Source organism: Homo sapiens, chromosome 10, assembly GCF_000001405.40.
Source record: "Homo sapiens chromosome 10, GRCh38.p14 Primary Assembly".
NCBI classification, from domain to species: Eukaryota; Metazoa; Chordata; class Mammalia; order Primates; family Hominidae; genus Homo; species Homo sapiens.
Window position 1 is genome coordinate 72,912,277 of NC_000010.11, and position 21,436 is coordinate 72,933,712.

Genomic DNA, 21,436 nt, shown 5'->3' on the forward strand with positions numbered 1-21,436 from the left:
TTTTTTTTTTTTTGGCAGAGTCTCACTCTGTTGCTCAGGTGGAGTGTGAAGTGATGTGATCTCAGCTCACTGCAACCTCCACCTCCTGGGTTCAAGTGATTCTCCTGCCTCAGCCTCCTGAGTAGCTGGGATTACAGGCGTGTGCCACCATGCCTGGCTAATTTTTGCATTTTTAGTAGAGACGGGGTTTCACCATGTTGGCCAGGCTGGTCTCGAACTCCTGACCTCAAGTGAGCCGCCCTCCTTGGCTTCCCAAAGTGTTGGGATTACAGACATAAGCCATCGCACCTGGCCTGGAAATCTAGTTCTTGATGTCCAGAATATTCATTCATTCATCTAACAAATATGTAATGGGCACCTATTTTTGATTTCTTTGCACAATACCATTGTTATGATATGTCTTCATGTATTGGACTCTGACAGAACTCAAGTATTCTTTTCAGGATACTTGCAGAGTCTAGAGAAGAACCTGGGAATGCTAAGGAAAAGCAATCTTTTTTATATTAAGGTAAAGTGGTGAAATTTATAGTCAGAGTTTATGGTTTCCTGAGCAATGCAAGGACAATTTGGAAGCCTTTCCCAAGTGCACTAACACTGTTTTTATTGTCTCTGTTTTACGAGGCAGTAATTAATGGTAAAGTCACAGCAGTATCGTTATGTACCTTAGGCCTATATCAAAGCAGCACTTTTTCTGTGTTGCTAATAAATTGTGTTTGTGCTGAAAGTTAATATCTTAGGTGTTTCAGTTCACAGAGTTATGCTGTCTACACTTCGAAACCAATGTTTGGTGAATTGAAAGTCGAACCTGGTATTTCCTAATTCAGGGAACCATATATTTGAGGAACATTATTTCACCATAATCTTGGGAGTTAAGAATAGTGGTTTTATTCACCAACTTGTTTTCAGCCCCTCTGATTTCCTTGGGGATGGAACAAAAAGCTTGGGTTGTGTGAGGGTGAAATTATTTCTCCTAAAAGCCTTCCTCCCGATTCAGGTTTCCTGGCTCTAACAGTGGCCCTTTTTCTCTGCAGTCCCTGTGTTGTGCAAATCAAATGCCATTGAAGTGAACATCCCCAGGGAGCTGGTTGGTGGCCTGGAGCTCTTCCTGACCAACACCTCCTGCCGAGGAGTGTCCAACGGCACCCATGTCAACATCCTCTTCTCTCTCAAGACATGTGGTACAGTGGTCGATGTAGGTTCCTCCTGGAGGGCACTTGGGGAATGACCAAAAGCCGGTTATTTGGGAGGCAGTGGACAGAGGTATGCCATGTGGCTTGTGTCATCGATGAGATATTTACACACAAAAGAACTGAGCTCAAAACATCTTACGTCATTCTTTTAACCAACGTGTTATTGAGCATCTGCTGTGGTCCTGGCACTGTGAAGAATTCTGCTATTCCTGTTTTCAAATAGTCCCATCTCTCCAGCATGCACAGACATTTTCCTGAATGCATCAGTACCAGTGGTACTGGGAGGCTGGCTACATCCTCTCTGACCAATTATTTTATTTGAAGAAAGCAACTAATACAGTTGGTGGTTCATTTGTGGTGCAGTGAATGAGTTCAAGTATTGAACCAGGTTGAGTGAAAAGGTTTATACTTTCATCCAAAAATCTGCACACAGCCCTGTGCTGGAGAGTTAGAAATGTATGAAATCCTGCCTTTTAGGAACTTGCACAGCAGAATTGAGATGACGACACAGAAAATGTAAGGAAAGGATGAACAGCGAGACAGATGACAGGTCCTGTAGGAGTCCAGTCAAGGGACAAACACAGGAGCAGTCAAGACAAGTGGGACTTGGATCCAGGTGGAAGTGTGTGTGTGGTTTACACAGCAGAGAGGAAAAGAAAGGGCCTTTCAGATAGGAAACAAGTGAGCTAGTCTCTGAGAGGGGATATGCAGGCCTGTGCAGAGGTGTGTGGAGAGTTTAGCCTACTGGAAAATGAAACCGGAAAAGTAGGTGGGGTGGGCTGAGCTTCCAAAGGCCTGCCTTGTGTGCTAGGGTGAGCCATCTGGATTTGATCCCACAGAAATGGGTTTAGGTGATGTGGTGATGAATGCCATGATCTGACAGCAACTTGCAAGATGGATAGAGCAGAGGGGGCCTGCATCTGGATCAGCACGGAGGCCTTTGCGATCCTTTGGTTAAATGAATATTTATTTATGACTCTAAATGAAAATCAGAAAGCTGATTCGACTTGCAGTGAGACAAGTGAGGGATATTCAAGGAGCAGGCGGTCCCACTTGAGGCAAGTTATGTCGATCGTATCTGTGGATAATCAAATGGACATGCCACATGGTAGGTTGGTACTATTGTCCCATGCATGGCAGAGCAGAGGAATCTGGTGATAAAAAGCTGAAAACCATCCGGTAAATGCCACAGCCAAAATTCTGAGTGTGCAAGAGTTCACACAAGGTCATGCTGCCGCAGTATCACCAGGTCTAAAACTCCTGAAAGAAACATAACAGGCGGAAGCTGTCCTTTTCTAAAATACCAGAGCTTTGAATTCGCTGATTCTGCATAGATCAGGTATTATGAGTAACACTCCAAAGGAATATGTGGGTCTGCCCAAGAAGTAGTGTGTAAAACTCTTTTTTTTTTTTAAATTTTGAGATGGAGTTTTGCTTTTGTTGCCCAGGCTGGCAATGGTACAATCTTGACTCACTGCAACCTCTGCCTCCCAGGTTCAAGCGATTCTCCTGCCTCAGCCTCCCAAGTAGCTGGGATTACAGGCATCTGCCACCATGCCTGGCTAATTTTTGTATCTTTAGTAGAGACGGGGTTTCACCATGTTGGTCAGGCTGGTCTTGAACTCCTGACCTCAGGTGATCCACCGGCCTCAGACCCCCAAAGTGCTGGGATTATAGGTGTAAGCCACTGTGCCCAGCCCTTTTTTTTTGGTATTATTTTCTTATTTATTAAAAAGTACACAACAAAGAGCTAGGCGGTATAATACCAATAGTTAGAATATAAAGCCATGTATAATAATGGGCTAATTAGGAGGTAGAAAGAAGTTCTAAATGAGAGCCATCTGAGTTTAAGCTACAGTTGATTCTTGTTATTCACAGTAGTTATGTTCTACAAAGCTGCCACAAGCAATAAATTAGGGAATACTGAAGCTAATTTCTTTAGCAATTAAGTATTGCTCCTAGGGGAAACACTGGGTTAGGTTCCTGTAATCCTCTGGTTGCAACATTTTTGTTAACTGATCAGTTAACAGTCTTGTTCTGTGTGTGTTTCTGTTTAAAGATACCTTATTTAACATACATTATAGATTCATTAACATTGCACTCATGGCCAGCAGCACCGCAACTCATGTCTGGAGTTTATCAAACACATATTTTCCCATTTTCCCTGTAAGGATCTCATAGCCTCCTTGTGCTTAGGATCACTAGATAGCCCATCTGCACTGCATTTGGGGGTCCCTTTAAACAGCAAAATCTCCCACGAAAGCACAAACATGCAAAAAACATGCCATTCTGTAGATCACAAAAAGGATCCTGGTTTACAATGAGAGCTAAAACAAGAAGGCAGTGGTGCCTTGTTGGACCTCAGCTGGGAATGTGCCACTGTGCACATTCTGTGAATAACCTCAGAAGCATAGTGAGTACTGATTTTGGGGTTATACATAAATATTAGCTGCTAGGTGAATTCACACATACCAAATCCATGAATAATGGGCATCAACTGTACATGGTAAACCTGAGGGGCTTCATAGAAGAGATGAGTTTGAGTGAGGCATTGAAGGGCGGGTAAATGAAGATGGGAATGATGGGTGAGGAAAGATGTCAGCCCCTAATGAGTTCTACTCTCATCGCACTCATCCCTTCCTGACCATAGATCATTTCTTACTCTCGTATACCATACTGTCTTTGAAGCTTAGTTTTATTTTTATTTTTATTTTAAGTTCAGGGGTACATGTGCAGCATGTGCAGGTTTGTTACATATGTAAATGTGTGTCATGGGGGTTGGTTATACAGATTATTTCATCACCCAGGTATTAAGCCTACTACCCGTTAGCTATATTTCCTGCTTCTCTCCCCCCTCCTACCTTCCACTCTCTGATAGGCCCCAGTGTGTGCTGTTCCACACTATGTGTCAGTGTGTTCTCATCATTTAGCTCCCACTTATAAGTGAGAACATGTGGTATTTGGTTTTCTGTTCCTGTGTTAGTTGGCTAAGGATAATGGCCTCCAGCTCCATCCACTCCCTGCAAAGGACATGATCTCATTCTTTTTTTGTGGCTGCAAGTATTCCATGGTGTATATGTACCACATTTTCTTTACCCAGCCTATCATTGATGGCATTTAGGTTGATTCCATGTCTTTGCTCTTGTGAATAGTGCTGCAGTAAACATACACGTGCATTACATGTGTCTTTATAATAGGATGATTTATAATCCTTTGGGTATATACCCAGTAATGGCATTGCTAGGTCAAAGGGTAGTTCTGTCTTCAGGTCTTTGAGGAAGCACCACACGGTGTTCCACAATGGTTGAACTAATTTACACTCCCACCAACAGTGTAAAAACATTCCTTTTTCTCCACAACCTCACCAGCATGTTATTTTCTGACTTTTTAATAGTAGCCATTCTGACTGGTGTGAGATGATATCTCATTGTGGTTTTGATTTGCATTTCTGTAATAATCAGTGATGTTGAGCTTTTTTTTCATATGCTTGTTGGCCACATGTATGTCTTCTTTTGAGACGTGTCTGCTCATGTCCTTTTCCCACGTTTTAATGTTTTTTTCTTATAAATTTCTTTAAGTTTCTTGTAGATGCTGGATATTAGACCTTCATCAGAGAAAAAAATTTTTCTCCCATTCTGTAGGTTGTCTGTTCACTCTGATGATAGCTTCTTTTGCTGTGTAGAAGCTCTTTAGTTTAATTAGATCCCATTTGCCAATGTTTGCTTTTATTGCAATTGCTTTTGGCATCTTCATCATGAAATCTTTGCTTGTGCCTCTGTCTCCAATGGTACTGCCTAGGTTGTCTTCCAGGATTTTTATAGTTTTGGGTTTTACATTTAAGGTTTTTTTTTTACTTTATTAAAATACTGAGTTTTATTTCATGTGTATATTTTTGTCTCCCCATCGTTTCCATGCCCAACCACCGCTACTACGATGTCCTATCATAACATTCCATACATACTTAAACCAAAGCAAAGGGTGGAGTTCCATCTTTAAAAACTAAACAGGCATTTTGGACAACACATTCTTGGCAATGGAACCTGGACAACATTTATCAAACATGGTAGGGAAAGTTCTCACTCTGCATTATAAAAGGGACAGCCAGATATCAACTGTTACAGAAATGAAATAAGATGGAAAATTTTTAACAAATTGTTTAAACTATTTTCTTAAAGAGACTTCCTCCACTGCCAGAGATCTTGAATAGCCTCTTGGTCAGTCATCCGGAAGCAATTCTTCACATAACTGATGAACTTGGCTGCCACTTTGGGAAGAGAATCACCTTTTTCTGTACTTGCTTGCATTTTTGCTTTAATGTCTTCTACAGAACTAGGTCCTTTTGGTGTTTTAGGAGTTTTTTCCTGTTTTTTGAAGGATTCTTGTCCTTTTGATCTTGGTGTTGATGATGGTTTTGAGTCTTTTCCATTCTGATTTGACTTCTGTACATTTTTGGCTGGAGTATCTTGTATAGATTTCTTCACTGGTGCTTTTTCTTCAGCTTCCTCATTATCTTCATCATTATCATCATTATCTTCATCATCATCTTCATCTTCTTCATCGTCATCATCATCATCATCATCATCTTCCTCAGCAGCAAGTTTTACTTTTTTCTGTGGAACCTTGCTACCACCTCCAGGGGCAGACTGCTTTCCAGTTATACTTAAGAGTTTCACATCCTCCTCCTCTTCACCTTCTGACTCTGCATCTTCCTCCACAGCTACTAAGTGCTGTCCACTAATATGCACTGTCCCTAAACCACACTTCAACTGTAAGATCACTGGGGGTGTTATTTCAAAGCCCCCAAGAGAAACCGTTGGCTATACAGACATTTTCAAAGTTGCCAGTGTGACTTTAATTGGACTGCCTTCGTAATTCATTGCCTCTGCTTCAACAATGTGCAATTCGTCCTTTGCACCAGCCCTTAAACTGACTGTTTTTAAAGATAACTGGTGCTCATCTTCATCATTATCCACCTTAAAGTGATCATCTTTGTCAGCCTTAATTCACAACCAAAAAGATAGTTCTGGGGCCTCAGGAGGCTCATGTCCATGTCCATCGAATCTTCCATCGGGTGGCGGCACACACTTAGGTGGGAGAGAAGGCGGATGGAGATAAACCACCACTGCTCAAGAGAACAGCCGCACAGGACAGAATCACACCAGGGTACACTTAAGTTTTTAACCCATCTTGAGTTAATTTTCGTATATGGTGTAAGGAAGGGGTCCAGTTTCAATTTTCTGCATATGGTTAGCCAGGTATCCCAGCACCGTTTCCTCATTGCTTGTTTTTGTCAGGTTTGTTGAAGATCAGAGAGTTGTAGGTGTGCAGTCTTATTTCTGGGTTCTCTTTTCTGTTCCATTGATCTGTGTCTGTTCTTGTACCAATACCATGCTGTTTTGATTACTGTAGCCCTGTAGCATAATTTGAAGTTGGGTAGCATGATTCCTCCAGCTTTGTTCTTTTGCTTAGGATTGCCTTGGCTATTCAGGCTCTTTTTTGATTCGATATGAATTTTAAAATAGATTTTTCTGCAAAGAATATCAGTGGTAGTTTAATGGGAAAGCAGTGAGTCTATAAATTGCTTTGGGCAATATGGTCATTTTAATAATATTGATTCTTCCTATGTATTTCCATTTGTTTGTGTCATCTCTGATTTCTTTAAACAGTGGTTTATAGTTCTCCTTTTAGAGATCTTTCACTTCTCTTGTTAGCTGTTTTCCTAGTTATTTTATTCTTTTCGTGGCAATTGTGAATGGGAGTTCATTTGTGATTTGGCTCTCGGCTTGACTGTTGTTTGTATATAAGAATGCCGGCATTTTTGCACCATTGATTTTGTATTCTGAGACTGCTGAAGTTGTTTATCAGCTTAAGAAGCTTTTGGGCTGAGATGATAGGGTTTTCTAGATATGGAATCTTGTCATCTGCAGACAGGGATAGTTTGACTCCTCTCTTCCTATTTGAATGCCCTTTATTTCTTTCTCTTGCCTGATTGCTCTGGCCAGAACTTCCAACACTATATTGAATAGGAGTGGTGAGAGAGTGCATCTTTGTCTTGTGCTTGTTTTGAAGGGGAATGCTTCCAGCTTTTGCCCATTCAGTATGATGTTGGCTATGGGTTTGTCATATATGGCTCTTATTATTTTGAAGTATATTCCTTCAACACCTAGTTTATTGAGCGTTTTTAACATGAAAGGATGCCAAAATTTATTGAAATCCTTTTCTGCATCTGTTGAGATAATCATATGGTTTTTGCCTTTAGTTTTATTTATGTGATGAATCACATTTATTGATTTGCATATGTTGAACCAATCTTGCATCCTGGGGATGAAGCCTACTTGATCGTGGTGAATAAGATTTTTGATGTGCTGCTGGATTCAGTTTGCCAGTATTTTGTTGAGGATTTTTGCATCAATGTTCATCAAGGATATTGGCCTGAGGTTTCCTTTTTTTGTTGTGTCTCTGCCAGATTTTGGTTCAGGATGATGCTGGCCTCATAGAATGACTTAAGTAAGAGTCCCTCCCTTTCAATTTTTTGAAATAGTTTCAGTAGGAATGGTACCAGCTCTTCTTTGTACAGGGGGTAGAATTCAGCTGTGAATCTGTCTGGTCCTGGGCTTTTTTTTGGTTGTAGGCTATTACTGCCTCAATTTCAGAGCCTCATTGTTGGTTTGTTCAGGGATTCACAGTCTTGGGAGGGTGTATGTGTCCAGGAATTTATCCATTTCTTCTAGATTTTCTAGCTTATATGCATAGAGGTGTTTATAATATTCTCTGATGGTTGTTTGTATTTCTGTGGGGCCAGGGGTATTATCCCCCTTATCATTTCTGATTGTGTTTATTTGATTCTTCTCTCTTTTCTTCCTTATTAGTTTAGCTAGTGGCCTATCTATTTTATTAACTTTTTGGAAAAACCAGCTCCTAGATTTGTTGATCTTTTGAATGGTTTTTTGTGTCTCTGTCTCTTCCAGTTCACCTCTAATTTTGGTTATTTCTTGTCTTCTGCTAGCTTTGGGATTTGTTTGCTCTTGGTTCTCTAGTTCTTTTAGTTGTGATGTCGGGTTGTTAACTTAAAATCTTTCTAGCTTTTGATGTGGGCATTTAGTGCTATAAATTTCTCTCTTAACACTGCCTAACCTGTGCCCCTGAGATTCTGGTATGTTGTATCTTTGTTTTCATTAGTTTCAAAGAACTTCTTGTTTTCTGCTTAATTTCATTATTTACCCAAAAGTCATTCAGAAGCAGGTTATTACATTTCCATGTAATTGTATGGTTTTGAGTGAATTTCTTAGTCTTGAGTTCTAATTCGATTGTGCTGTCATCTGAGAGCCTGTTATGATTTCAGTTCTTTTGCATTTGCTGAGGAGTGTTTTACTTCCAATTATGGATCAATTTTAGAGTAAGTATCATATGGTGATGAGAAGAATGTATATTCTGTTGTTTTGGGGTGGAGACTTCTGTAGATAATTATCAAGTCCAGTTGATCCAGAGCTGAGTTCAGGTCCTAAATATCTTTGTTAATTTCTGTCTTGATGATCTAATATTGTCAGTGGGGTGTTAAAGTCTCCCACTATTATTGTGTGGGAATCTAAGTCTCTTTGAAGGCCTCTAAAAACTTGCTTTATGAATCTGGGTGCCCCTGTGTTGGGTGCATATATATTTACGATAGTTAGCTCTTCTTGTTGAATTGAACCCTTTATCATTATGTGACATTCTTCTTTGTCTTCTTTGATCTTTGCTAGTTTAAAGTCTGTTTTGTTGGAAGCTAGGATTGCAACTCTTGCTTTTTCCTGTTTTCCATGTGCTTGATAAGTTGTCCTCAATCCCTTTACTTTGAGCCTATGTGTATTTTTGCATGTGAGATGGATCTCTTGAAGACAGCATACCAATGGGTCTGGACTCTTTATCCAGTTTGCCACTCTGTGTCTTTTAATTGGGGCATTTAGCCCATTTACATTTAAGGTTAGTATTGTTACGTGTGGATTTGATCCTGTCATTGTGTATTTCAGTATGTTTTTGTAGTGGCTGGTAGTGGTTTTACCTTTGCATATTTAGTGTTTCCTTCAGGAGCTCCAGTAAGGCAGGTGTGGTGGTAACAAATTTCCTCAGCATTTGCTTGTCTGAAAAGGATCTTATTTCTTCTTCACTTATGAAGCTTAGTTTGGCTGGATATGAAATTCTGGGTTGAAAATTCTTTTCTTTTCTTTCTTTCTTTTTTTTTTTTTTTTTAAGACAGTCTTGCTCTGTCTCCCAGGCTGGAATGCAGTGGCATGATCTCAGCACATGCAACCTCTGCCTCCCAGGTTCAAGCGATTCTCTTGCCTCAGCCTCCCGAGTAGTTGGGACTACAGGTGTGTGCCACCATCCCTGGCTAATTTTTATATTTTTAGTAGAGACGGGGTTTCATCATGTTGGCCAGGCTGGTCTCGAACTCCTGACCTCAAGTGATCCGCCTGCCTCAGCCTCCCAAAGTGCTGGGACTACAGGTGTGAGCCACTGCACCCAGCCAGTTAAAATTCTTTTCTTTAGGAATGTTGAATATTGGCCCCCAGTCTCTCCTGGCCTGTAGGGTTTCTGCTGAAGGGTCCACTGTTAGTCTGATGGGCTTCCCTTGTAGGTGACTTAGCCTTTCTCTCTGGCTGCCCTTAACATGTTTTCTTTCATTTCAACTTTGGAGAATCTGAAGATTTTGTGTCTCAGGGATGATTTTCTTGTGGAGTATCTTACTGGGGTTCTCTGCATTTCCTGAATTTGAATGTTGGCCTGTCTAGCAGGGTTGGGGAAGTGCTCATGGATATCTTGAAATATGTTTTCCAAATTGGTTTTATTCTCCCAGCTCTTTCAGGTACCCCAATCAGTCATATATTCAGTCTCTTTACATAATCCCATATTTCTCGGAGGTTTTGTTCATTCCTTTTTATTCCTTTTTCTCTATTCTTGTCTGCCTGTCTTATTTCAGAAAGACAGTCTTCAAGCTCTGAGATTCTTTCCTCTGCTTGATCAATTCTGCTTTTAATACTTGCAATTGCATTATGAAATTCTTGTATTGTGTTTTTTTAGCTCTGTCAGGTTGGTTATGTTCTTCTCTATCTTGGCTATTTTCTTTGTCAGCTCCTACAATATTTCATCATGATTTTTAGCTTCCTTGCATTGAGTTAGAACATGCTCCTTTAGCTCAGCGAAGTTCGTTTTTATCCACATTCTGAGATCTACTTCTGTTATTTCAGCCATGTCAGCTGCAGCCCCATTCCAAACCCTTGCTGGAGTGGTGATGCGGTCATTTGGAGGAGAGAGGGCACTCTAGCTTTTTGAGTTCTCTGTGTTCTTGCACTGATTCTTTCTCATCTTTGAGGGCTTATCTACCTTCAAACTTTGATGTTGCTGACCTTTGGATGGGGTTTTGGGGGTTTTTTTCTCCCACTTTTTTTTGAGATGGAGTCTCGCTCTTGTCACCCAGGCTGGAGTGCAGTGGTGCAATCTCAGCTCACTGCAACCTTTGTCTCCTGCATTCAAGTGATTCTCCTGCCTCAGCCTCTTGAGTAGCTGGAATTACAGGCCCCTGCCATGACACTTGGCTAATTTTTGTGTATTTTTTAGTAGAGATGGGGTTTCACCATGTTGGCCACTGGTCTCTAACCCCTGACTTCAGGTGATCCATGTGACTTGGACCCCCAAAGTGCTGGGATTACAGGTGTGAGCCACCGTGCCTGGCCTTTCCCCCCGGCATTTTAACAGTCTGGCCACTTTTCTGTAGGGCTGCTGTGGTTTGCTGGGCATCTGCTCCAGTCCCTAGTCACCTCAGATTTTCCAGTATCTGGTATCACCAGTGAAGGCTGTGAAACAGCAAAGATAGCAGCCTGGCCCTTCCTCTGAGAGCTCCATCCCTGCAGGGTACAGATCTGTTGCTAGCCTTAACATACCTGTAGATGGTGGTTGGAGACCCCAGTTGGGAGGTCTCACCCAGCCAGGAAGAAAAGGATCAGGGAACTGCTTAAAGAAGCAGTCTAGCCCTGCTTTCATAGAGCAACTGAACTGTGCTGTGGTACCGTTTCCTTCACCTCCCCCTCCTCAGGTTGAGCTCTCCAAAGTCTGGAGGCTAAAACAGCTAAGTTGCTGAAACAGCAAAGATGGTGGCCTGCCCCTTCCTCTGGGAGCTCCATCCCAGTGGGGTACAGACCTGTTGCTGACCTGAACACACCTATAGGAGGTGGCTGGATACCCCATTTGGGAGATCTCACTCATCCAGGAGAAACAGGATCGAGGACCTGCTTAAAGAAGCAGTGTGGCCATGCTTTCCTAGAGTAGGTATGCCATGCTGGGGTACTGCTTCCACTTTCAGACAGTTTGGACACCCCACAGGCTGGAATGGCTGAGTTGTCCAAACAACTGTCCAAACAGCCTCCCCCTCCCGCTTGGCACTCCATCCCAGGTAGAAATCAAAACTCTGTCTGCCAGAGAATATGGGCAGAGCCGGTTGGAGGCCCCAGTTGGGAGGTCCCCCTCAGAGATAAGGAGCAGATCAGGGTCCCACTTAAAGAAGCAGTCTGGCTGTGTTTTGGTAGAGCTAAGACTCTTAACAGTCAGGATGGCTTGATAACAAGAGGAGGGCAGTGGGAAAAAAAAACAAAACAAAACTTCATCCTTAGGCAACCAAATCTCTAATGTGTTTTGAGGTAGATAGAATGTTAAGGTGAGAGGAGGGGGAAAAAAAACTGTAGAAACAAACAGACAATCTCTTTCCTCTCCTCACCCTGGCCTGGCTCAGGTGGTGAATGACAAGATTGTGGCCAGCAACCTCGTGACAGGTCTACCCAAGCAGACCCCGGGGAGCAGCGGGGACTTCATCATCCGAACCAGCAAGCTGCTGATCCCGGTGACCTGCGAGTTTCCACGCCTGTACACCATTTCTGAAGGATACGTTCCCAACCTTCGAAACTCCCCACTGGAAATCATGAGCCGAAATCATGGGATCTTCCCATTCACTCTGGAGATCTTCAAGGACAATGAGTTTGAAGAGCCTTACCGGGAAGCTCTGCCCACCCTCAAGCTTCGTGACTCCCTCTACTTTGGCATTGAGCCCGTGGTGCACGTGAGCGGCTTGGAAAGCTTGGTGGAGAGCTGCTTTGCCACCCCCACCTCCAAGATCGACGAGGTCCTGAAATACTACCTCATCCGGGATGGGTAATGCTGCTGCAAGAATGGTCTCATCACCCCTAGTTCACATCCGGCCTCTAAGTTCACAGCACACCCAGTCATTTACTAAAACTGCATGGTACCACTGTCAGCAATTTATTAGTTCAGGAACCACTTATTGACATTTTGGAGGTAAAACTAGTGAGGGAGAGGAGAGTCAAAAGTGGCTCCTAGGCCAGGTGCAGTGGTTCACACCTGTAATCCCAGCACTTTGGGAGCCAAGGCGGGTGGATCACCTGAGGTCAGGAGTTCGAGACCAGCCTGGCCAACATGGTGAAACCCTGTCTCTACTCAAAATACAAAAATTAGCTGGGTGTGGTGGCAGGCACCTGTAATCCCAGCTACTCAAGAGGCTGAGGCAGGAGAATCGCTTGAACCCGGGAGGTGGAGGTTGCAGTGAGCCAAGATCGCACCATTGCCCTCCAGCCTGGGTGACAAGAATGAAACTCCTAAAATCTCAAAAAAAAAAAAAAAAAAAAGGCTCCAAGTGGTCTAACCCAGGTGACTGACTAGATGCCATTAACCAAGGTGAAAAGATGTATATAGAAAAGCAGATTTGAGGTTAAAATACTGAATTTGGTCATTCAAAATGACATATTGAATAATTTAATTTTTTAGATACCTGCAGGATGTCTAGGAAGAGAAATTCAGTGGGCATTCAGTGGAAATGCATTATCAATTAGACTCAGGAACACAGTCTGGACTAGAACTGAAGGACAGGGAATCACCAGATTTAGAGATGAAACTGTAGGATTGAGTAACCTGCTAGGAGATGGCAGAGCATGTGTGAAGGTGGAGGTGAGATCCTGTTCATGTGGCTGAGAGTGCAGGGAACAAGGAGCCAGCAAACATAAATTCCTCTTTTAAGAAGTTTGGTAGTCAAGGACAGAGAAGAAATAGTTGGTAGATTTTAGAAGAAAGACATAGATATAGCAGTTTGGCTTTGTGCTTAGTTTTTTTCAGGGGTGGAGGGCAGTGCAGGGTCTTGCTCTGTCACCCAGGCTGGAGTGCAGTGGTGCAAACACAGCTCACTGCAACCTTGATCCTCAGGCTCAAGTGATCTTCCTGTCTCATCCTCCCAAGTAGCCAGGACCATATGCGCACGACCATGCCCAGCTAATTCTTTTTTTTCTAGAGACGAGGTCTCACTTTGTTGCCCAGGCTGGTCCTGAACTCCTGGGCTCAAGTGATCCTCCTGCCTTGGCCTCCCAAAGTGCTGGGATTATAGGTGTGAGACACCATGTTTGGCCCCTGCACTTGTTTTATACAAAAGAGAGTTCCATGGTATTTCCTAAGGATCCTTGGTGGGATCTGTAGGTGTCCTGAGGTACTGATGGAGACCTAGTCCTTTTCATAGGCATTGCCTACATTCCCAGGAAAATTACACTCAAACCCAAATTCATAGCAGTATCTCATGGGCTTCTTCCTTGTTCTCCATGTCAGGTGGGACACAGTCTCAGGTAGGATCAGGAACTGCAGCTTAACCAAAGGGAGAATGGTCCAGTACGAGCAGCTCAGCACCCTCGGGGGCTTGCCCTCTGCTGGGTGGCCTGCAGGCTCTTGGACATTACTATGCTGCTTTTACTCCTCTTGTTTTTCACTACAGCCAGCCTTCACCTGCTGCTATCAATCTCTTGCGCAGTGATATTTCACCCCTTGATATACATAGGATCAACTGAGATGCTTTTTAACAAATAGCAATGCCCCAACCCTGTCCTCTCTATTCCATTCCTATTGTCTTAATTCCCACCTTCATTATCTTTCACCTGGACAGCAAAGCAGCCTCTTAACACAGCCTCCAAAACCTCACCTTTCACATCTCAGCTCCACAGAGCCCCTGGGTGATCCATTCAAACAAAATATGATCTTGTCACATCCCTGCTGAAAACCTCTTAATGGTTCTTTATTAGCTTTGATCAGTAAATCTGCTTCTCAGAAGGTGTGCTTCCAGCCTCAGATTCTTGTAGCCTCCTTAAGCTCATTTTCATAATATGGAAAGTTTGTCATCCTGAGCTACTCTGGACGGCCCGTAGCAAAGGGCATCTGCAGATATGTGGATTTCTTGCCATGCTAAGGTGATTTCTAAAAAACCTTAACATGAAAAGAAGAAGCAACATTTTGTATTTATTTTTTTCAGGGACTAGGTTTACTTTTTTTGCAGTGATAGATTTTTGTTCCTTTTTACTTTTTTTAAAAAATAACTTTAGTAGAGTACTATTCACATACAATAAATAGACATATTTAAAGCATGTAGTTTGACAAGTTCTGATGTGTATACCCATGAAGCCATCACAATAATCAAGATAATGAACATTTTTCTCACTGTAAGTTTTCCCCTGCCCCTTATATTTAGTTTTTGAAAAAATAAGAATATAATCATAACTCACTGAGAAAAACGTAACCTACAATCTTAGTAGAGCTTGTGAAACTTATTTATATATGCATTATTCAGTCTCTTAGTGAAGGACCATTTTATTTTATTTTATTTTATTTCCTTTTTGAGACAGAGTCTCACTCTGTAGCTCAGGCTGGAGTGCAGTGGCGCAATCTCAGCTCCCCTGCAACCTCTGCCTCCCAGGTTCAAGCAAGTCTCGTGCCTCAGCCTCCCAAGTAGCTGGGACCACAGGCATATACCACCACACCCAACTGATTTTTGTACTTTTAGTAGAGATGGGGTTTCGCCGTGTTGGCCAGGCTGATCTTGAACTCCTGACCTCAGGTGATCCACCTGCCTCGGCCTCCCAAAGTGCTGGGATTACAAACGTGAGCCACCACGCCCAACCATATTTACTTTTATTTTAGACAGTTCTAAGAAGCTGCGCTATTTATTTTGCCAGTGCTTAGCACATACAGAAGAGAAAAAATATATATGCTCTAGAAGAAAAAAGCATAGGCAAAAATGTGAAAACCACAGCAGTGTGGCCCTACTTTGTAAGCAGACAAATCATCCCGTCTGTGGTGCTGTACAAGAATGATGTGTGCAAGATCCTCCAGCTCTTGGCATGGCTCATAGGCCATTACCCTCTGACCTCAGCCCCCTCGAGTTTCTGCTCCTGCCAAAGGGAATTATTGACAATTCCCAAACTGTCACTCCTGAACACCCTTCTGACTTTGCGCATGCTGTTTCCTCTGCCTGATATCTTCTTCCCCGCCTTTTCTTCCTGTCTGATCCTTACTGGTTCTTCGAGATTCATGGAGGGTTTACTTCCTCCATGAAGCCTTTCCTGGCACCTTTCTCCATTTGAACTAAAAAATCCTTTTTCCTTTTTCTTCTTCCTCAATTCCTAGCATATGGTAAGGGTCATTAAATATTTGCCAAGTAAATAATTGAATGAGTCTTTATAATAATCATAATTTGGGGCTAGTCCACAAACCTAAAATAAACATAGCTCATTTTACTTATATTTATTAATTGTTTGATTATTCATTTCTTTGATTTTTCATTGTCCTCGGCTTAAATTTAAATCAAGTTGGTTCTCCCCGATATTGAACACATCTGATTCACTTCCCTTTAATTTTGGTTGGCGTATGCTCTGAGAATACAAAATAATTTAACACAAGCCTAAGCAAAATATAGCTAGAAAGTTAATCACTGGAAAAAGAAACATACTAAATTCCAAAATCAAGCATTGAACAAGTTTTCGATAAGCCACTAGTTTTGATTCCATTATACCCTTGTTACTTTCTTTCAGTACATGAATTCGGTGCTCGGAACTAGCATTGTCTAGTCACAGCAAACCCCAAATCAAGAGCCAACATTTGTCCTGGTTTCTGTTCTGCAATGTGTTACCTTGTAATAACCCCTTCTGCTTCATTTTTTCTTTTAAAGAAAAATAACAGTTATTTTGAGATAAAGATAAATTGAAAATGCTCAGGTATTTAGATTAAAAGTACTATTTTAATATCAAGCCTTACTATTATCTTAAGATACTGGACTGTAAACTCCTTGACGTCAGAGACCATATTATTCATCTTTATGTCCTCTGCAGCAACCAGCAGGGTGTCTTGCATAGATTAGGTATGCCATGGATGTTTATTATAGAATATAATCAGAAGAGGGTATAAATGAATTTTACCTCAGGAAAATAAAAATGAGTAAATAAATACAAGAAATAACAGAAACCACATTATGTTTAGATCCCCTTCAGTTCAGTGGAATGAGGTGCTGGTAGTAACACTAGTCAAGATGCCTTATTTTAAAATAATTTTTTGGATTTTTTTAGGTGCACCAAAACAGCAGTTAGCAAGGAACTAGAAAGCAGTCTGGCTGGGCACTGTCATGGCTCATACCTGTAATCTCAGCACTTTGGGAGGCCGAGGCGGAAGGATCGCTTGAGTGGTCTTGAGTTCAAGACCAGCCTGGGCAACATAGTGAGATCCCATCTCTACAAAAAATGAAAATTAGCCGGGCATGGTGGCACACACCTATAATCCCACTGAGGGGCTGAGGCAGGAGAATTGCTTGAGTTTAGGAGGTCGAAGCTGCAGTGAGCTGTGATTGTGCCACTGCACTCCAGCCTGGGCAACAGTGAGACCCTGTCTCAAAACAAAACAAAAAAAAAGAAGAAAAGAAAAGAAAAAGAAGTGGCCTGTGCATGTGGAGCAAGTACCCAGTTTAATCGGCTTTAATATCTGACCTCCACTTTTTTCCTGGCCCAGAAGACAGGAACTATTAGGTACCCACTAAAAGGCAACTATGTCCAGAAAAAAAAAAAAAGTTCCTCTAGAATCTAGAATGGGAAAAATAATATGAGGGTGATTCTTGGCCTATAAGAAGTTTCATGAATATCCAAAACTTTGGCCTCAGCTGGGGCAAATATGGCTCACTGCAGCCTCTGCCTCCCAGGTTCAAGCAATTATCATCGTGCCTCAGCCTCCTGAGTAGCTGGGATTACAGAGGCATACCACCACACTTGACTTTTTTTTTTTTTTTAGAGACAAGGTCTTGCTATGTTGCCCAGGCTAATCTCGAACTCTGGGGCTCAAGCAATCCTGCCACCTCAACCTGCCGAGTAGCTGGGACTACAGGCAGGCACCATGACGCCTGGCTAACTTTTTGTATTATTAATAGAGACGGGTTTTCACCATGTTGGCCAGGCTGGTCTCGAACTCCTTAGTTCAAGCAATCCTCCTGCCTCAGCCTGCCAGAGTGCTGGGATTACAGGCGTGAGCCACCTCGCCCAGCCAGGAGTGCTTCTTTTCCCCCAGCTAACCCTGAAGTGAACCTAGGTGTTTTGCTTTAAGCAGTAGACCTGAGATTAAAACCCCAAAACCCTATCAAACTGCAATTTAACATTAAATTTGGGAAAAGAGAAATTAAAACAATTTGGAGGTGCATGACTTTTACCCAATAGAACCAGTTATTATCTAAGAAACTTGGATATTTATGTCACTTTGATGCATGCACTGCAGTTCCCTAACTTTTGTATCCCCTTCAGTAGTCAGTTGCTATTAGGTGTCCAATACATAGTTAATAAATTTTGTTAAAGAAAAGCCTTCTCAAATCAATACTAAGGTACATAGAGGCAGAATTCCTGCAATATATTGCAAATGGAAAGACAGCCTTACTAGCAAAAGGTATCTGAAATAAATGGTGTTGCTGTTGCCAACACTTAAACGCATTAACTTAACAGGAAGCCCTGGTGCCCAGTTTGTGGGTACAGCAAATGATAAATGGGACAGATGCTATTAGTAAATAAGGCTAGGTCTGAAGAGGCCTTCACAGGGAAAAATTTAATTTTTCTTTCATTCCCAAAAAGCTTGAGTACAGTCCAGCCTCCTCCACCCCTTTGGCTCTCCTTGGGCCAAAATGTTGGGTTAGATTGTTTTTCCACCTCTGTTGAAACAATCAAGTCTTATGTGCTATCTGCCCTACTTTCAGCTGTGTTTCAGATGACTCGGTAAAGCAGTACACATCCCGGGATCACCTAGCAAAGCACTTCCAGGTCCCTGTCTTCAAGTTTGTGGGCAAAGACCACAAGGTGAGTTGAACATCTTTAATTTATAACCCCTGAACCTGAGCCTTTTTTTTTTTTTTTTTGGTGTCCCAGTGTGTTGACATTCCAAGAGCCCACTGGTGGGATCTGCATGGGCTCAAGAGAAAAACAGAGAAACTGGCCATCGAGAAGCTTAACCCTTTCATGCATGTCACACCCGCCCTGCCTGCCAAAATAACTGTGCTGTTCCCCTCATACCACCTGCCAAAATAACTGTGCTGTTCAAAGAAAATACTATAGGATCATAATTTAATTTAAAATCTTTGTGGGCAGTTATGGTTGAAAAGCCAGTGTGGTGATTGGTCAAATGGCAAGGGATATGGACAGGAAATTCACAGAAAAGACAAATAGTGAAATGTTCACTGAAAATAGTACTTAAGTGCTGATGAAAACAATTATAAGACACCATTTTATACATATTAAATTTATGAAAATTATAAAATACAACACTTACAAGGTTATAGGGAGAAGTATACAGTGACAGTGTAAATTAGTACATTTGCTGGAACATTGTCTGATAATCTGTAATAATAATCATAAAATCGTCATATTCTTTTATCTAAAAATTCCAATTCTGACAGTTTCTTAAAAACAAAACAAAACAGAGGCAGGAGAATTGCCTGAAGCCAGGAGTTTGAGACCAGCCTGGGCAACATAGCAAGACCTCTACTCTACAAAAAATTTTAAAATTAGCTGGGCATAGTGGCACACACCTGTAGTCCTAGCTTACTTAGGCAGCTGAGGCAGGTCACTTGAGCCCAGAGTTCAAGGTTACAGTGAGCTATGATCAGGCCACTGCACTCCAGCATGGGTGAGAGAGTGAGACCCTGTCTCTAAAAACAAACAAAACAAATTTTTAAGCCAAAACAGACAAGGTGTATTGGAAGTGTTTGTAGAGCATTGTTACAAGGGGGTAAAAGAAAAAGCCCCAAACAAGCAGGGCTAAGGGCCACAGTATATCAATTTAATGCAATATTAAGAGTTATTAAAATGATAAATATGGGAAAAGCAGACATAAAAACTGTTGTCATAACAATTTACAGGCATATTAAATATATTACATTTAATGTAGTGAGATAAGCTGGAAGATTTTTTATCATTGTTGTTAGAGTGTACTTGTTGAAACATTTAAACAAAAGGAAGTTGAAGAGGCCAACATTCTTTTCCACACTGCTTGTAAGTATATGCATGTCCATCCCAGCTATACCATGGTTACAGAACAACTGCTAACAATGATGGCTGATCCTGATTGCCCTCAATCAGGCAGGAAGCTCAGGCAGTTACCTACAGAAAGGTGCTTGCAGAAAACACTGGTTATTTGACAGCACAAGTGCATGGGAGCCAATGCTATCCCCAGACCTTGGTGTGAAGAAGGAAGATGCTCAAGTTAGTAGATGTTGCTTCACAAAGGTCTCTTCTGTTCCAGCTCCATGCAGGAGTTATGAATGTGGGTTTTTTTAATCACTCATGTGACTTAAATGCAAACTTTGCCACATTTTTTATTAAATGTGTACATTTGGGCAAGTTCCTTAACCTCTCTGTTTCCTTATCTGTAAAATGGGGATGATAAACTCTACTTGTGGATGTCCTTGTTAAGATTACATGACTTAATGTTTAGGAACATTTAGTATTGTGTCTTGTAAGTGCCCCACAAGTGGCAGCAGTTATTGTTTTTATTAACAGTCGTGATCATCTCTTCAGGAAGTGTTTCTGCACTGCCGGGTTCTTGTCTGTGGAGTGTTGGACGAGCGTTCCCGCTGTGCCCAGGGTTGCCACCGGCGAATGCGTCGTGGGGCAGGAGGAGAGGACTCAGCCGGTCTACAGGGCCAGACGCTAACAGGCGGCCCGATCCGCATCGACTGGGAGGACTAGTTCGTAGCCATACCTCGAGTCCCTGCATTGGACGGCTCTGCTCTTTGGAGCTTCTCCCCCCACCGCCCTCTAAGAACATCTGCCAACAGCTGGGTTCAGACTTCACACTGTGAGTTCAGACTCCCAGCACCAACTCACTCTGATTCTGGTCCATTCAGTGGGCACAGGTCACAGCACTGCTGAACAATGTGGCCTGGGTGGGGTTTCATCTTTCTAGGGTTGAAAACTAAACTGTCCACCCAGAAAGACACTCACCCCATTTCCCTCATTTCTTTCCTACACTTAAATACCTCGTGTATGGTGCAATCAGACCACAAAATCAGAAGCTGGGTATAATATTTCAAGTTACAAACCCTAGAAAAATTAAACAGTTACTGAAATTATGACTTAAATACCCAATGACTCCTTAAATATGTAAATTATAGTTATACCTTGAAATTTCAATTCAAATGCAGACTAATTATAGGGAATTTGGAAGTGTATCAATAAAACAGTATATAATTTTAAAAGTAGTATTTGGTTTTTCTGTTGCATACTATTTTCTTTTTTTTCTTTTTCTCTTTTTTTTTTTCTGAGATGGCGTCTCGCTCTGTCGCCCAGGCTGAAGTGCAGTGGCGCAATCTCAGCTCACTGTAACCTCTGCCTCCTGGGTTCAAGCAATTCTTCTGCCTCAGCCTTTTGAGTAGCTGGGACTACAGGCATGCACCACCACACCCAGCGAATTTTTGTGTTTTTAGTAGAGACAGGGTTTCTCCATGTTGGCCAGACTGGCTCGAACTCTTGGTCTCAGGTGATCCACCCGCTTCAGCCTCCCAAAGTGCTGGGATTACAGGCGTGAGCCACTGCACCCGGCCATCTTTTGATACTTCTAATATATTGCCTTAAGTGAAATATTTTCACCTAACAAATATTAATAAATTCATCAACATGTATTTAAGTGCTTCAATGAGCTGTAACAGAATTAAAGTTTGGTACCATGTTCCCTGTGATTTGGTATTCTGTGCCCTCAGGCTGATAAGACAATAGAAAAAAGTATATAATTCTGCCATATTCTGTTTTGTAGGTACTTAATAATAAGAAGTTTTATTGAAATAAATATAAACCACAAAGATAAATATTATCTGCAGTTAACTCCAATTTCTTTATATGCCAATTAATTTTATGGCCTTTACATAAGATCAGAAAAGT

At 41.9% G+C, this 21,436-nt stretch overlaps 1 protein-coding gene and 1 pseudogene across 2 annotated transcripts in view, besides 1 other annotated feature; one reads left to right on the plus strand and one right to left on the minus strand.

The window, feature by feature from the left end:
* Positions 1-20,760, plus strand: part of OIT3 (oncoprotein induced transcript 3) — a 39,298-nt gene extending 18,538 nt beyond the window's left edge. The window contains exons 6-9 of one of the 2 annotated variants that reach the window (NM_152635.3): positions 1,032-1,192; positions 11,953-12,368; positions 18,262-18,361; positions 20,078-20,760. In NM_152635.3, the coding sequence (NP_689848.1) occupies positions 1,032-1,192; positions 11,953-12,368; positions 18,262-18,361; positions 20,078-20,248 (848 nt within the window). In that variant the 3' untranslated portion in view covers positions 20,249-20,760. The remainder of the gene's footprint in view (positions 1-1,031; positions 1,193-11,952; positions 12,369-18,261; positions 18,362-20,077) is intronic. The other variant, NR_130125.2, reaches the window with a different exon arrangement.
* Positions 5,042-6,274, minus strand: NPM1P24 (nucleophosmin 1 pseudogene 24; annotated as a pseudogene).
* Positions 5,822-5,891: an enhancer, noted in NCBI's record as "active region_3553". NCBI's record gives its function as "activates an Ori minimal core promoter by ATAC-STARR-seq in GM12878 lymphoblastoid cells {active_cell/tissue: GM12878}" and the evidence as "EXISTENCE:reporter gene assay evidence [ECO:0000049][PMID:35858748]".